General features: G+C 34.1%; 1 protein-coding gene and 1 long non-coding RNA gene across 9 annotated transcripts in view; one reads left to right on the top strand and one right to left on the bottom strand.

Moving 5' to 3' along the window:
* The window catches only part of LOC105377989 (uncharacterized), a 347,578-nt gene that overhangs the window by 29,802 nt on the left and 305,624 nt on the right, over positions 1 to 12,152 (top strand). For all 7 annotated transcript variants that reach the window (XR_002956387.2, XR_007059748.1, XR_007059747.1 and 4 more), the window contains exons 2-3: positions 3,047 to 3,275; positions 5,580 to 5,727. This is a non-coding gene — a long non-coding RNA (uncharacterized LOC105377989). The remainder of the gene's footprint in view (positions 1 to 3,046; positions 3,276 to 5,579; positions 5,728 to 12,152) is intronic.
* The window catches only part of RSPO3 (R-spondin 3), an 80,811-nt gene that overhangs the window by 16,439 nt on the left and 52,220 nt on the right, over positions 1 to 12,152 (bottom strand). The window lies entirely within an intron of this gene.

Here is a 12,152-nt window from a genome sequence, read left to right as displayed (position 1 = left end):
CAGGAAGAGGAACAAATAACAAGAGAAATAGAGGAAGAGAGGAAAGCACTTGGGATGGTTGTCAAAAGTTGAAAGATGACAAAATAACCTTGTCTTCCTTAATTATCTTCTATAGCAAGCATAAATGATGCTTTATTTGGTGGAGTTGAGAATGTAGTCTTCCTTTAAAGTCATGAAATATGATTCTAGCCCATCTTGCCTGATCTTGGGGCTTTTGTATCCTCTTTTGAAGTGGCACTACACAGTCTCAGAAGCCTGACTTCCCCTTGAGTTTCGAATAACTGTGGCTTTTGTTGTAATCCATTGAATTTTTCTTTCAGTGGAATGCCACCAAAATGGACCACTGGGTAGTATGATGAAACTTTCCATTTAAGAGGGTGTAGCAAGGACAGCAGATGTTATGTGCAATGCAATTAATGGGAAGAGAAAGTCTCAGGAAAGGCTTAAGCAAATGAGCTGAAAATTAAAGGAAATGTGACAATTCCTGAAAGAATGAACACTGTCTTACTCAATCTCTAAGAACACTGTCTTAATCTCTAAAATAAATATTTCTCATTTAATTGAAGTATTTAAGAACGAAATAAAGTGACCCTGGAAAAAAGAAGGCCAGATGAAATAGATAGAAAAAAGTTTTAAAGGGGTAAAGAGCTTGAAATAGCCCATATGTTTGGTTTTTATTTTCTGAGCAAAGTAAACTTCATATATACCTTAAGACCTAGTTAAGGTAATGCTATAGTTTAGATATTTGACCCTGCAAATGTCATGTTGAAATTTGAGCGCAAATGTTTGGGGTGGGGCCAAATGGGAGGTGTTTGGGAGTCATTGGAGTGGGTCCCTCATGAATGACTTGGTGCCATTCTCATGGTAATGAGTGAGTTCTCACTCTATATTAGTTCCTAGGAGAGTTTCCCAGAGAGCTGCTTGTTAAAAAGAGCCTGGCACCTTCTCTCTCTCTCCATTCTCTCACACACTCTCTCTTTTCTTCTCTAGTCATATGATCTGCACGTGCCAGTTCCCCTTTTCCTTCTGTCATGAGTGGAAGCAGCCTGAGGCCCTCACCAGAGTCAGATACTGGTGCCATGCTTCTTGTACAGCCTGCAGAACTGTTAGCCAAATAAACCTCTTTTTTTGAATGAATTACCCAGCCTTAGGTATTCTGTTATAGCAATACAAAAATGTACTGAGACAGGTAGAAACGGGGATACGTGATCAATGACTGTATATAAGCCATTCCCTTATCTCCAGAGAATATTTAGGAGAAAGAGTAGTAGTCAAGAAGTGACTTCAAATATTGGGGAGTGAAAATACTGAAGGAAAGCAGAAGTAAGGTTGGCTTACTTGTTTATCTCTTATGTCAGAATTTGGGGAGAGGAAGGTGAATCCCTTTTTTGTCCATTACATCTTGCCCACCCTTAATCAAGCACACTTTTGGATCCTGCAAGGTCTGCTGGAACTTTTAAACTGCAGAGGATTTAAGGAGTTAAGCACAAAATGTCTCTGAGGAAGCCTTCCCTGAGTATGAATGGGTCTGGGTGTGGGTGTGTGAATCAACCCTAACAAACTGAAAACAATACCGGGTGATTTCTAAAAATTAGCAACTCTTTTCAGGCATCACTGAATAACCTCACAAATGATTTGCACTACTGCTAACAACACCTGGTAAGCAGCTGTATTATCTATGTATGATAATATATTTAACATATTTATATATGGGGTACTGTATTTGTATATTTTACTGTATAGTTTTTAAGTATCTTGAAGATCACCCCTTACCTACATACATCATTCAAGATACATTTTAAAGGCTACTTCTCTATTAATTCTTCCCTGATCTTCTCCAGCAGGTGAGGAGGGATGCAGTAATGTATAGCTGCTATGACCTTGGGCTTTGAAGTTAGAAAGATCTGAGTTTGATTTTCTGTCAAGCTATTTAGTCATAGTCTATCTTTGGGGGATATTACTTAAACTCTCAAGACCTCATCTTTTAAAATGTGTGCTTAAAAAAAGTGGGACATTAAATTTTAAATATCTGAAATAGGTATCAGGAAACGTGCATTTTAAACTTGGCTATATTACTCATCAGCAATATGACCTTAAGTAAAGCACTTTCTGTGCTTTGTTTGCCTCATTTATAAAATAGAATCAATAATTCCTACTATTCTCATTATTTGGGGTAGGTATGAGAAACAAATGATATATAAGTAGTTGAAAATGAAAAGAATTCTAAAATTATAATCCCTAAAATAAAAATAATTAGTAACAATAATAAATGGTCTCTATGAAACTATAAAACAGCTGAGTGAATCAACTCACCCTTAATAATAGAACAGCCTTAATCTGGTTTGGGTAAAATCTGAGGAGCACTTAATTCCTTTAAGATGTTTGATGAAAGTTGTTAACCCACTCAAGGCCATCTGCCTTACTTCTTGCATATCTCTCAAATGTGTCATTCCTTCTTTATCCTCATTCAGTTCAAACCTCTGTCATCTCTAGAACCTCTAGAATGATTTTTGCAAAGATCTGGTGGTTTTTTTTTTTTTTTTTTTTTTTTTTTTGTTTTCTTCCAGATATTTTCCACTTTGCTGTCAGGTTACCTTCTTATAGTGCAGAGGGCTGGTCTTTTATTCCTGTTGGTTTTTTGTTTGTTTTTAAATCTGCCCAGTGCCTGTACTCCCAAAGTTCTTGGCATGGTTTAGAAGGCCCTTCTGAATCTGACTCTTGGTTATGTTATTGAACAGCACCTCCTTCCCTAATTTGCCTTTGCTCAGTCACACTACATAGTTAACTATAATTTGATCACATCATGCTCTTTCTTGCTTTTGTGATTTTATTGATGTTGCTTCTCAATGGAAAGTTCCTCTCCTTCTCTTTAGCTGGAAAATTCTACTTGGCCTTTAAGAGCCAATAATAATTTATCTCCTCTATTTCCAGAGGACACATCTGTCAATTTTGCATTTATTTGTTTACAACCAATTCTCCCATGAAATTATGAACTTCCAAAGGAGTCTCATACATATTTGCATATCTTTGTTATTTTCACTTCTAGCATCTAGCTAATCAGCTGACCATGAGATGCAGAGATTATCTGGAATTATCCAGATTGGTCCATTTAATTACATGAGTCCTTAAAAGTGGAAAGTGGAAGAAGAGGCAGAAGAGTGTGTCAGAGAGATGCTGTGTGAAAAGGACTCAACCTGCCACTTGAGGCTTTGAGGCTGGAGAAAGGGGCCATGAACCAAGGATTGTGAGCAGCCTGTAAAATCTGGAAAAGACAAGTAAGTGGATTCTACCCTAGAGTTGCCAAAAAGGAACACAGCCTTACTGATGCCTTGATTTTAGCATGGTAAAACTTGTGTCAACCTTCTCACCTACAGAATTGTAAGATAATAAATTTGTGTCATTTAGGACACTAAGTTTTTGGTAATTTATGATGACAGCAACAAAAAACTAATACAAACCCAACTTTGTAATGGTTTTCTTATATTTCAGTTCACATGTCCAAAACAGTTTTAAAGACCCTCATCCCACTATTCAAATGTTCTAGAGTAAACTAAATGAGATCGTTTTGGTTATGAGCAGCATCTAATTTGTCTACACAGAATATTAGCACATAAGAGCCTTAATTTCCTTTTTGAAAACTTTGTTCCAGCAAATTTGGATAAGGTGAATTTATTGATAAGATGCAAACTAATAAATCAAAGGAAGCGGAGCATCAGAAAGAAACCACATTCTAATTTTTATTACGAGTTTATACCTCTACTCTCAATCTAATTCTCTACTCTCAATCTAATTATTGTAAGAAGCAAAAATTTCCTTTTCCTAAAAATGATCTGATAGATTATTAGCTGAATTATGAGAAAGGTATTATGGTATGCTTGGGTATTCTCCACTGTGTTTTTACATATATGGTTGGTATATTTTTCTGTCAATTTGTGAACAAGAATTCTTATTAAGCAGAAATTCATCTGGACTATATCATCTGCAAGATCAACTTTAAGACAAATGAAAGAATGTGAAAACAGGGACATTCTTTAAGAATGAAATTATGTCTTCCTCTATGCACCCACATCACTGTGGTTACAGAACTTTGGGGAATTTATTCCCATGTTTTCTCTCCTCTGGGTGTTCACCGCTTCAGTTCTTCCTATCAGAACCTCCTGAGGTCAGAAAGGTTTGCCCTTTTCAGAGACTTTCTTTGGCTGGTAAAGCCTTCTGAGCTAACCAGAAATCAAAATGGGATGCTGTATTATGTCAGAACTGTGTGTTTAGTCTGCTTTCCTAGAAATAATCAAGAAAAGTTAGATGTGAGAAGACACAGATGGTCCTTTCTCAGCAATATTTTCATATTTTTGAAGTATAATATAAAAATATAGTTCATATCTAGAACAATATATTTTATATACACATATTTTTATTGATTCCATTTATAAAAGTTCACAAAACATGTGTGTGTTTGTGTGTGTATAATGTAATACAAAGCAATAAATGTTATATGATGTTGGCCCTTAACCCAGCATGTTTTTCTTTGAAAATTCACAGAAATTGATATTCTATTTCTGACTTATTACTGAGCATATTTATAGCATGGAGAATATTTTTATTTGCCAGATTACAAATCATTTTAGGAGAATCTTTGAAGGGATACCTAAAACCATTTTTGCACCAATATTAATCATTTTTTAACCTGACTTCTATTTTTATAATTATATAAAAAATAGGACTCAAAGCTGCTTCAAGACACATATTCTGTTATGAGTTTGGTAATTAAGAAGCTTATGTGTAGAACTTAGAGAATCTCAAGGAGTTGTCTGTGATACTATTAGCTGTTGTCCAGCCAAATAATACAATATGTTTCCCCTTACCAACTATAATATATAATCTACTATTTAAAAGTGTATACAGTGAAATATAATTAGTTACCATTTCAATATTTAAATTCAAGATGACTAGTAAAGGATCTCTCATATACTGCACAGTCCTAGACATGCATCTAAATGTACCTATTAATATTCAATGAATACCAGGCTCATTTCATGCTCATTTCTATTTCAGGAATGACTCAAAAAAGGACTGTGTTCCACTGATTATGAGACTAATACTAACGTGACAAAAGTTATTTCACCATTCTCTTTTTGTAAAAAAAAAACCAAGAGAACTATAATAACACAAACAAAACTTTAAGACCACTATTTGGCTCTCTCTGACTCCCTTCCCTGAAGAGCATTTACGACTGACTTTTGAGGAAAAACAAACACATTCATAAAAAAAAAAATTGGCTTCTTGCAAGTCCTTTTCTCCTTTGTCTTCCAACTCTTTTACTCAAGCTATGAAAATAAAGTAAACAAATATTTTCAATTTACCTATTTTAAAACTTCTATTCTTGTTTTACCATTTCAGTTTTTCACTCTGCTCTTATTCATTCCTATAGTTTGGGACATACTATGCTTATACCTTATCATTAATTCTAATAGCATACAAAATTAAGTCTTATGATCAGCACTTATTACTGGCATGGAGCATCTGGTGCTAATCTCAAATTGATTCCAGATTACATCGCAATCCTGTTGTCTTCCCAACAGGGCAATACCCTTTGCTGTCTCAGGGTCAAACATGCAACTCCTGCCTGCTTGTATGGCCAGCTGGGTTCAAGAAGGAAGGAACCTCATTGTTGACAGTTACCAGATGAATGTGCCCCTTCTGTACAGCTAAGAAATGGAATAGACATTGGTGAGTGTTGGATACAGTTTACAAGCTTGAAATGCTGGGAATTCACATTTGTGATACTTAAGCAGATTTTAGTCTCACTGGCTTATTCCCAAGAATTGGGTAACATGTTACAGTTTTTGATGATTTGTTGGTTATTTGTTATTCTTTGAAATTCCCAAGGAATGAGCAAAATATCCAGCGGGAATATTGATGTGAGCAATAGACTTAGCAGTCTCTTTCATGGGCCATCAGCTGTGGCACTTCACATCATAAACTCCAAAGGCAGGCTAATCGTGGGTGAAAATTCACCCTAGTTGGAGGAAGTCCTTGCAATAAGGAACGACCAAGTTCAAAATTATTCTTGGTTTAAAACACAAGGTTTTGAATCTCAATAAGGTGAAGGAAAAAACAAGTTGTGTTTACTAGAAATAAAAATTTGCTGCCACAGGGAATTGAGGGATTATCAAGCAAGGGTATAAAGATTCAGCTTCAAGGAATGACAGCCAAACATTTTCCTCAATATTTTGCAACAGGTATCAGGTACCTAAGTTAAGTGAAGATGAACTTTGATTTTATTTGAATTTAAATAATTATAAAACCCTGGAGTAGAATATGTCTTCCTTAAAGTGTATCTTGAGCTTTTTCATTGTTCAAACCCTGGATTATTATACATTCATCCTAAATTACTTTCTGTTGACACATAAAATGAAGTGTCATATTGTTTTCCTAGACATGAAAACCCACTGTAGTTTTTTAAAAGCTTATTCTTTGTATTTGTTTGACCGTATCAAAAATAGTCATGGAAAATAGCTGACCTAACCAAGTGGAATTTTAGGACCCAAAGAAACCAGTAGTAAGGAATGAGTGTTTTAGGTCTATTAAAAAAAAATAAATAAATAAAAAGGAAATAACAAGTTCCTTGATGTTGGAGCCCCAGCACCTTTTGTTACGAGCTTGTATTTGGCTTCCTTTTCTGCTTAGTCATTGCTTTAACTCCCACTCTGAGATTAATTGCATGACCTCTGGAGATGAATGATCTTTTACTTAATCTTAGTCAATGCAATCTGGACAACCTCAGGTTTGGTGAGGCTCCTCTTGGGTGGTTTTCATTTGTTTTAGAACATTAAAGTATCTCATAAATCTATATTTATTATATTGGTGAGTAATCTACTGTAATTAAATATGAAATGCTGAAGACAATGTTACGGTAACATTGGGGTCAAAAACCCCTTTTTATGGTGATTCCATGGCTACAAAAATACTCTGGAATTTACTTTTGTCTTTATGTCTGGATCTGCTTAACATTACAGAGCATCCAAAGGCACATCATTTTCAAATGTTCACTTTCTAAGTGTTTTAAAATAATAGTGATTTTTAAAATGGTAAATACACAATTCTTATAAGAAAACAATTTAAGATGAATCTTAGAATTTGGCTAACAATACCCTTATTCAATATAATGTGTCCCCATTTACTGGTATTAGAAAATTTGGTGAACGAGTCTTAAATAATCCAGTCTTTAAGAATATCCAGGTTTGATATTAGATCTCTTCTTACTAGTTTTCAGGATGAGACCAGTCTTAAGATGCAGAAATGAGGCTGAGTAACAACAAAATCAGTTTAAGGCCATCAATTTGTAATTTATGAGTTAGAAGGAACTGTCACAACTGTGCTAAAATTGGCCTCTGCAATGTTGACAGGGAGAAAAAGGATTTCTTAAGCAAATTAATATTGAAACAAACTATGATTTTTAGATGCATTTAAATGATCCAAAAGTATAAAGTTTTCCAGTACTTTATGCTCATATACGAACAAAATTGATGTTACCAGGCAGTATTATTTGATAACTGAAGTAGTCACCTACCCAATTTCCACTTGGTGGTGGTAGATTAACCATATGCCACCACTGAAGAAGGTAACACAACTGCATGTTTTTCAAACATGTTCTGTAATTGAAACTAGCAAAGCTTTTACTTACTGGTTTTCAATATTCCGCAAGATGCTGAATATTGAAACACAAACTAAGTAACATGCTTTGGGACTTTATATTCAATAAAGGAATTCTATTTTCTAAGTTAGACAAATAACCAAAATAAAACAAATGGGCCAACTTAAGACAGACAAAAGGGCAAATACAGGAAAAAATATAAATGAATATTTTTAATTTGGGAAAATGTATACATTAGGAGACAAATGAATTATTGAATGTAAAGAGAATGAGCATTGAAAGCTTTTGATAAGCTGGGGAAAATCACGTTTTTGCATTGAAGTAAGGTTGAAAATCCATTCACTAAGAAGTCTTAAAATCAAATAAATTTTCATGCATCTATGCTTAAAGTCAGGGATATAAATGAAAGAAGTCTAAGAGTTCCTCACTCATATGATTCCATGGTTAGTTTAAAGTTTAAGATAAAGCTGCCCAAGGGTAGAAAGCTTCTTCATCAACCTAAACACTCTTTCTGTCAGACTTCCCTTTGAACTGCCCTAAGAAAACTTTCATGGGTACTTCAAATGAAAATCTCTTATATCACTGAAAAGAAACACAAATAGACCATAAAATACTTTAAAAAAATGTGTTGGTGACTATGTTCAGTTCTATGACTCCATACAATTACTTTCAATTATTTTATTATTGAAGTGTTAAATAATTGTGTAGCACACATACACTTAAATCTTTGAGGAAAACAGAGTAAGACTAGTTCCATTCTAGTGGCTCTAGAGAATATGGTGGCAGGGAGGTCAACTTGAAAAATTATAGTCCTCATCTTCCCATAGGACAATGGTAACAAAATAAAAGCTAGCACAGAAGCAGTTTCTTAATGTATCTATTACCCTGATTTTAAAAACATGTTTCTTTTGCTTTCTTCATACTGCTTAGTCCTCTGATCAGAACATATCCACCATTTCAAAATTATGCTAAATGAAGTGTTTGTAAAAATACTCAGGCAATGCTAAAATGCAAACACAAATTTGTTCGTTTTTCTATTAGGCCAACCTTGAATTTGCAAATCTCTAATTATGTTGCAAGTGCCTTAGAAGGCTTAATAGACTGCTAGTAGGTTTTACCACATCTTAATTCTGAAAATCTGTATACAAATTAAAGGAAACATATCCATGTGTTCCTGACTAATTTGCCATTAAGCTTATTTTGTGAGCTCAATTTCATGCCTAAAAAGTATTTCAAAGCCTCTTTAAATTTTTAAGCCTTTGCCACGAGCAAGGTATCACAAACACACATTATTAGAAATGCACTGATGTTTGACAACCCAACTAAACTGTAAATAGATATCAAATAATACTGCTAAAGGAAATCAATGTTCCCATATTTTTATAAAGAAATAGCTTAACGCCCTCTGTGCGCCCACACGAATGAGCACGCTGTACAATTTTCATGTTAGAATGAAACTCTTATTCGGTTAACAGCCAATTCCCCTTGCTTCCAAAGTTAAACTACAATATTCTAGGAGAAATTCTGTACCATTCCCTAGTCTCAATCTCACGTGCCTTCAGCAGATGTCTACAGCAATTGGGAGCAGCATGTATTTTTCCATATAGTTGTGTGTTCCCAAAGAACAAACCCAAAGTCATGCTGCATCTGCTTTCCTCGCACATGCACGTTGTGTTCCCTCTTGGAACTCTACCCACTTACAGCTTGCTTCAGGCTGAGAAGCCTCCTGGGGTGGGAAGTTTGCTTCATGTCTGGCATGTCCAATGATTCACACAGCATTTAGGAGACCATATATGCTTCATAAATTGAGTAGAAAATCCAAGCCTTTGAAATACATTTTTTTTAGTAAATTTTACTTTATGTCTTCAATATTATTTTATAGGAATTGGATTAAGTATTAATTTTAACAACCTTTTAAAAAGCCAAGTGAGATTCTTTATTAGGATTTATATTTAAGCATAATCCTGTGAAAATTGCACAAACCACTTAACAGCCTGAAGGTCACTGACTCTACTGACTGACAGCGCCTTTGTTTAGACAACATGATAGCACTAACATAACCATTTAGTGCATTTGAATACAATGTTGGCAATTTGTGAAAACTATTTGGCTTTAAAACATCAGAATGATTTGAAGCAAAAGGGGAAATCACTGGCCAATTTGCTTATTATAGTTAAGTTTGTTATTTGAATAACAAAATGGTTGTAAACAGAAAGATGAAGCAGATTTGGTGGTAAAAAGAGGTTTTCAATTTTTTCAACAATGATAATATCATTAATAAGAAATAATGGTTGATGCTAAGCCTCATGTGTGATAAGTATAGTTAGAAAAGAGCAGATGATTAGAAATAAATGATCCTCTTGAACACAGGGCAAAAGTGTTGAAAAAGACAGAATGGAAAGATCAGATTGACAAAAGATTTAGGTTCTAGTACTGACTAACTTGCTTATTAACTGACATTCTTAAGGTAGTTATATACTCTTTTCAGCCTCAAATACTTGAAATATCACTGGACTCAGAATTAGGTCTGAGTGTGAGTCCTGGTCTTTGAGTGTGAAATCTACTACTCACACTCAAAGCCTCAATTTCCTCATCTTTAAAATGCAGTCGATAATAATAATGCATATATGCCTGCAATATTTAAAGAATTTTAAATGAGATAATTATGTAAAATTGCCAACATTTAAACAAATAATATTATTATTAAATCACAGTCCAATCAGAAAGAATCTATGTTAATATGGTTATGGTAATGGATATGGTTGAATAAGGACATATAGCCCAAGCGAATACATGTTTCTGTCTTTTGGCTTTTTGTAAGGTGATTTTGAGTCCAAGTGTAATTCCCCTGGAAAACCATTTACCTTCATTGCAGTAACTGGAGGTCTCATTTCCATTTTAATCATTGTATAGGTTCCCAGATTTATATAACCAGGTAACTGAACTACTGTGCCCTAACTCCTTAGTGTCCAGAGATGAATAAATCCCTTCCAGCTGTTATATTATTTAGTGGGGCTCTATGGAACATTAGGATTTAAAGCAACTCAGCATTTGGATATTTTTTTTAATTTCTGATTATAAAAACCATATGTATTAAACAATTTGGTTTTAGACTAGGAAATTAACAGGTGTCTGTATGTGTGAGTGTGTTTGTGTATATATTATATATATATATTTATATCTGTATATCTATAATGATTAATAAGCCAATTGTCCAGATTAATATAGGCTTGTGAAACAGGCATTTCAGTGTATAGAGTTTCATGGCAATACAATATGTAATATGATGAATTAAAAGTACTTCTGTTTCCTCTGGAACTTTAGGTGCTTGTAGTTAGAAGATACTAGATCACATGTTGGTAGTTTTGTTCTTTTCATTATTCCAATACATACATTCAGGTCCTCTGGGTCTTAACTAACTTTTAAAAAATTTAATACTACACACACATTTTTAGTTAAGCAATATACATGTGTCATCTGCCATTTATTAATATTAATTATAAATGATCAGTGGTTAATGGGATCCAAGTCCAGCAGCTGAGATTTTTCTGAATTTGACCTCCTTAGAGTTTATATAAAAAGTTTTCAGAGTAGTTCTCCCAAGCTCCTAGCCAATTTGAAGCTAGTTTGCAACCTAACATTTTAGATTATGTATTTAGCAATCAAAAAGAGGAAGGATAAATGACAGAAATCCTGAAAAAAACATTATGCCAGAGGATTAGATGGGACAAATAAGAGGAAGAGATGTTGTTTAAAGTGATACAGTGTCGTGTGTTAAACATTACAACAAGCTAAAGGTTATGTATACAGTATATGTTTTAGGAATGTTACAGTTTCATCTTTGTTTTCCATAGTTTTACTATAGTCATAATGACAAATGTGGAAGGGATGTTTCTATAAGTTAGTATAAATGAATGCAAACTTGAGGAGAAAACCTAGAAAGAAAGAAATACAAAGCCCAGCATGTTAGTATATCATGAGAGCCACTTCTCAAAGTTACTTATTTCTTGCTACCCTACAACATCCTACAGCTACAGCATAATGGACTCCAAGACATCTGATATAACCTCTGCACAATGCCTTGGGGAGCACACTGATATATTTTTCCTTCTGAGAGTCAAGCAATTTTCCTAAGAAAAAAATACTGTGCTTTTCTGTGGCAAAAAGTCCACAGGAATGTCAAATACAGATTTTACCATGATTATAACTGAAAAATATAAAAGAGGTTTTAGAAAACATCTTGTTCAACAGTTTTAAAATACAGTACTTTGGTATAGAGCTACTGGTTGGCTAGACCTTACTTCAATAGAGGCACTTAGTTTATTTTTATTTTATTTTAAATTGGGGTAAAAAACACATAACTACCTTAACCATTTTTAAGTGTACAGTTCAGTGGCATTAAGTACATTCACACTGTTGTATAGCCATCACCAGCATCCATCTTCAGAACTCTTTTCATCTTCCAAAATTTGAAAAGTCTGTATCCATTAAATAATCA

Source organism: Homo sapiens, chromosome 6 (assembly GCF_000001405.40).
Source record: "Homo sapiens chromosome 6, GRCh38.p14 Primary Assembly".
Classification (NCBI taxonomy): Eukaryota; Metazoa; Chordata; class Mammalia; order Primates; family Hominidae; genus Homo; species Homo sapiens.
This window is presented reverse-complemented; position numbering and strand designations above follow the sequence as displayed.